Source organism: Homo sapiens, chromosome 16 (genome assembly GCF_000001405.40).
Source record: "Homo sapiens chromosome 16, GRCh38.p14 Primary Assembly".
NCBI classification, from domain to species: domain Eukaryota; kingdom Metazoa; phylum Chordata; class Mammalia; order Primates; family Hominidae; genus Homo; species Homo sapiens.
The window spans coordinates 52,225,044-52,229,794 of NC_000016.10; positions in this window are offsets into that span (position 1 = coordinate 52,225,044).

Genomic DNA, 4,751 nt, shown 5'->3' on the forward strand with positions numbered 1-4,751 from the left:
AAGTTCCTTATAGATGCTAGATATTAGACCTTTGCAGATGCATAATTTGCAAAATTTTTTCTCTTATTCGGTAATTTGCCTATTTACTCTGTGGATAGTTTCTTTCACGGTGCAGAAGCTCTTTAGTTTACTTAGATCCCATTTGTCAATTTTTGCTTTTGTTGCAAATGCTTTTGATGTCTTGGTCATGAAATCTGTGCCCATTTCCATGTCCCGAATGGTATTGCCTATGTTGTCTTCCATGGTTTTTATAGTTTGGGGTTTTACGTTTAAGTCTTTATAAATATATGATTTTCTCTCTGCACAACTTTAGCAGCACTCTACAAATTGTTGTATTTGTGTTTTCATTATAATTTAGTTCAATAGTTTTCTAATTTTCCTTATAAATTCTTCTTTGAATCATGTCTTATTTAGAAGTGTGTTGCTTATTTTCCAAGTATTTGAAACATTGTAGATATATTTCTTTTTTTTTTTTTTTTTTTTTTTGAGATGGAGTTTTGCTCTTGTCACCCAGGCTCGAGTGCAATGGCGTGATCTCGGCTCACTGTAACATCCACCTCCCGGGTTCAAGCGATTCTCCTGCCTCAGCCTCCCAAGTAGCTGGGATTACAGGCATGAGCCACCATGCCTGGCTAATTTAGTATTTTTAGTAGAGATGGGGTTTCCCCATGTTGGTCAGGCTGGTCTCAAACTCCTGACCTCAGGTCATCCGCCCACCTCCAAGTCCCAAAGTGCTGGGATTACAGGCGTGAGCCACCGCGCCCAGCAAAACACTGTAGATATATTTCTATTACTGATTCCTAGTTTAATTCTATCACAGTCAGAAAACATATTTTGTATGACTTCAATGTTTGAAATTTTGAGGAGCTTGTTTTACGGCTAAGCATATGGTCTATCCTAGTTAATCTTTTATGTTTCCTTGACAGGAATGTGTATTCAGTATCTGTTGATTATAAGAATTTTATAAACATCTATTAGGTCATGTTGGTTGATACTGTTGTTCAAATCATCTATAACCTTTCTGATATTTTTGGTCTACTATTCTATCAGTTACTGAGAAAGGAGTGTTGAGGTCCCCATCTCTGACTGTGAATCAATCTATTTCTACCTTTGCTGCTGTCAATTTGTATTGCATATAGTTTAATGCATTATTATTAGATGCATATACATTTAGGATTGTCGTGTCTTCTCAATAACTTGGCTCTATTATTATAAAATGCCCCTCTTGTGTCTGGCAATAGTTGCTGTTTTGAAGTCTACTTTGTTTGACATTAACATACATATACAGATTTTCTTATGAGTAGTATAGTAGCCAAAGGTCTGAGAACCAGGGATGGGAAATACAGGGGATAGAAGAGACCACTGGTGTAAGTCCCAGAGTCTGAAGGCCAGAGAACCAGGAGCTCCATCCAATGTCCCAAATCAGAAGAGAGAGGTCCCAGTTAAGAATGCAAAGAGAATTAACCCTTCCTCTATTTTCTTGTTCTATTTGGGCCCTCAACAAGTTGGGTGATGCCTACCACTCTGATGAGGGTGGATTCAGTCTGCTGATTCACATGCTAACCTCTTCCTGAAACACCTTTACAGACACACCCTAAAATAATGTTTTACCAGCTACCTGAGCATCACTTAGCCCAGTTAAGTTGACACACATAATTAACCATCAAAATTTGACTCTGTGTGTGTGTGTGTGTGTGTATTTTCTATAGCTGCTCAAGGGAATCACAAGACATATTTATTAAGTGAGTAAATGAGGTGGTACAGCATGCACCCACCTACAATCTACCCTACCAATCATTCACCAAACCTAGTAGAACTCCATGAGCCCTAGCACAAACAAAATTGCCAGTATGTCAGTGGAAGGGAAATTCTTCCAATTCAGGTTCACACTGTGATATTAAAAAATTTTTATCTCAATCTAATACAATCGCTTATTAGTCTTTTTGCACTTTTACTCCTTCATTAATTCAATTATCTTTCCATTTAACAAACATACATTTCCTTCTTAGGCTATATGTTAGAATTGACTTTGAACATTTAAAAAATTTAATACCTATAATTCCAACACTTTGGGAAATCAGGCAGGCAGAATGCTTGATCTCAGGAGTTCAAGACCAGCCTGGGCAACAAGGCAAAACCCCATCGCTACTAAAAATACAAAAATTAGCAAAGTGTGGTGGTGTGAACCTGTAGTCCCAGATACACAGGAGGCTGAGGTAAGAGAATCACTTGAACCTGGGTGGCCAAGGTTGCAGAGAGCCACTGCACTCCAGCCTGGGTGACAGAGTGAGCCCCTGTCTCATAAAAACAAAACAAATCAGAAAAACTACAGAGGCCTAGACCCTATCCAAGGCCTACTAAATCAAGATCTTCAGAGAACTTTTAACACACATAGTTAAGAACCACTAAATTTTTGAATGCCCACTAAATTCTGGACACTAGCTACCAGCATTAATCCTTTAATGCCCCCCACCTGCATACCACAGAACAGATTTCCTAACAGCAATGAACAGTATGCACAAGTTCCTTATCTCTCCTTCTGATTATGTGCAAGGTCAGAAAGGAAAAAAAAATTAGAAACTGAAGAAGCTCATTAGCTTTCTAATAGGTCTTTTTTTTTTTCTTTCATTTCCTTTTCTTTTTTGGAGCTTGGCCCCCTTGAGGCACATTAAAACACAAACTAACTCCCATGGGGAATAGGAGAAGAAGGAGTGATGGAACTGCAAAGGCAGACCCTAATAGCAGCCAAAGAAAATATTAGAAAACAAAACAAAAAAAGAAGAAGTAATAAAGAAAAGAAAAAGCCTTACCAATAAGGTACTAGAAAAGATTTCTTTAAAATGGAACATTACCTCTTCACATTTCTTTCTTGTGTGCTCCATGAATACAGCAGACTATAGCTTGTGCATTCTTGAAATGTCTGAATTATTTCTCAGCCATTGGCCCCCATCTCTACTCAGTATGTGTTTTGTTTGATCTACCATGACCAGCTAGAAGTCAGCTGATACTCACTGCCTCAAGTGGAATTTTGAGGCCCCACAAGACCATGAGGAAGATCTGTAACCACAATCATACTCTTCAGTCCAGAGAATTCTTTTCTTTTTTCCATAGAGGAGAGCGTGTTTCGGGGTTTACTATTTACTCTGAAAACTTGGTTTGATTACATCTCTCAAAAGCCCTGCAGGAAGAATGCACACGTGTTTCTTGGGTAAGGAAAGCCAAAACATTTTTCTACTCATTTTTGTTGCCCTGGAAGCTGTACAATCCAGGAGAAGGAAATAAATACAGAAAACTACATCAAGGAACAGTTCATGAAATGAATAAGTAGTATATGAAACCATGCTAGGGAAATGTATTAGTGCCCCTAATGATAGCTCAGACACTTGCTGCTCTCCAAATTGCTAGTATTATGTGTGCAGTGCAGAAAGCATTCATAACACATAATTTTACTCTGCTTTTGTTTCCATTCCATCCTTTGGATTGACAAGAATCTCATGATCAGATTTGCAAGGCCTCCTGGAAAATCAGGTAATGCTGTAGTTCATAAAAACAGATAAATAGCACCAGGTACATATCACCTGTTTACAAGTGCCCAGGGACCAGAATTCATAATGCTTACCAACACCTTTCTTATGCACTGTGGTCCTGAATGCCAGCCATAGGGAAACCAGGGATTTACACATGGGTTAGAAGGTTGATTGCCTTGAACTGAGTGTGCCTTGTAAGCTGTTCACACTAGCTTATAGAAAGGCCTGCTGGGAACAGACAAAATAAGCTGCCTCCACCCCAGGGTTTCAAATTGGAGGCCTGCAGGCTGATATGGCCTGGTCAGGGCTTCCAAAGCCCTCTGTGCACCTATGTATGAATTACAAAAGGACATCCCTTCCTCTGGGTAGGCCTACTCTGGGATCCTCAGCCAAAACACAACTTATGCAGTTGTACATGGTGGTTCTGATTGCCTCCTTCTCTGGTTTTGTCTGTTTTTTAAAAATCAGAGTACTACACACACACACACACACACACACACACACACACACACACTCACACTCCCCATGGATTTACATCTTCCCTTTCCTTGACAAATTGGAATTATGGAACACTGAACTCAAATTACCACCTGGCAGCTGTCAATGAAGACGAATAGCAGCTGCTCATTTGAGTTGGGCCACATGCTCTTCAGTTCACCTCAGTCAACGCCACTTCCTATTGTTTCCCACCTAGCTCACTTCACTCTGATTTAACCTGCTGGGCACTGAAGGCATCAGAGTTTGCAACCACCTTCAAGGTCTTCAAAGCCTCACTCCACATATTTAATCAGGGTTAGGTTTCTGTCTTGCCTCCCTAAAACAGTAAAAAGAGATTTAATAGGGCCAGCATTGCCTTTATAGAGAAGTATTAATGGTGAGATATGGAATAAGATTTCCCTGAGCTTAAAGGTCTCTCCTACCTAAATGACCTCCACCTGAAATCTGATTCTCACTCTCTCTTGCCATTCCTTTAAGGTTCAGCCTGAAGAGCACCTCCTCCAAGAAACCCTCTCAGAGGCCTCCACCTTCATGAATCAACCTAAACATTAATAGCAAAGGTTAATGCCCTGAATCCTGAGCCCGCATTCCCACATGGTGGCTGTCAGTGAATATGAATATCAGCTGCCTGCTTGATATGGGCCATGTGATCCAGACAGGCTTCGGAGAGTCCATGTACCCAGATGAAATGGAATGTGAAATATTGTGTGTATATATGCCTTTCTG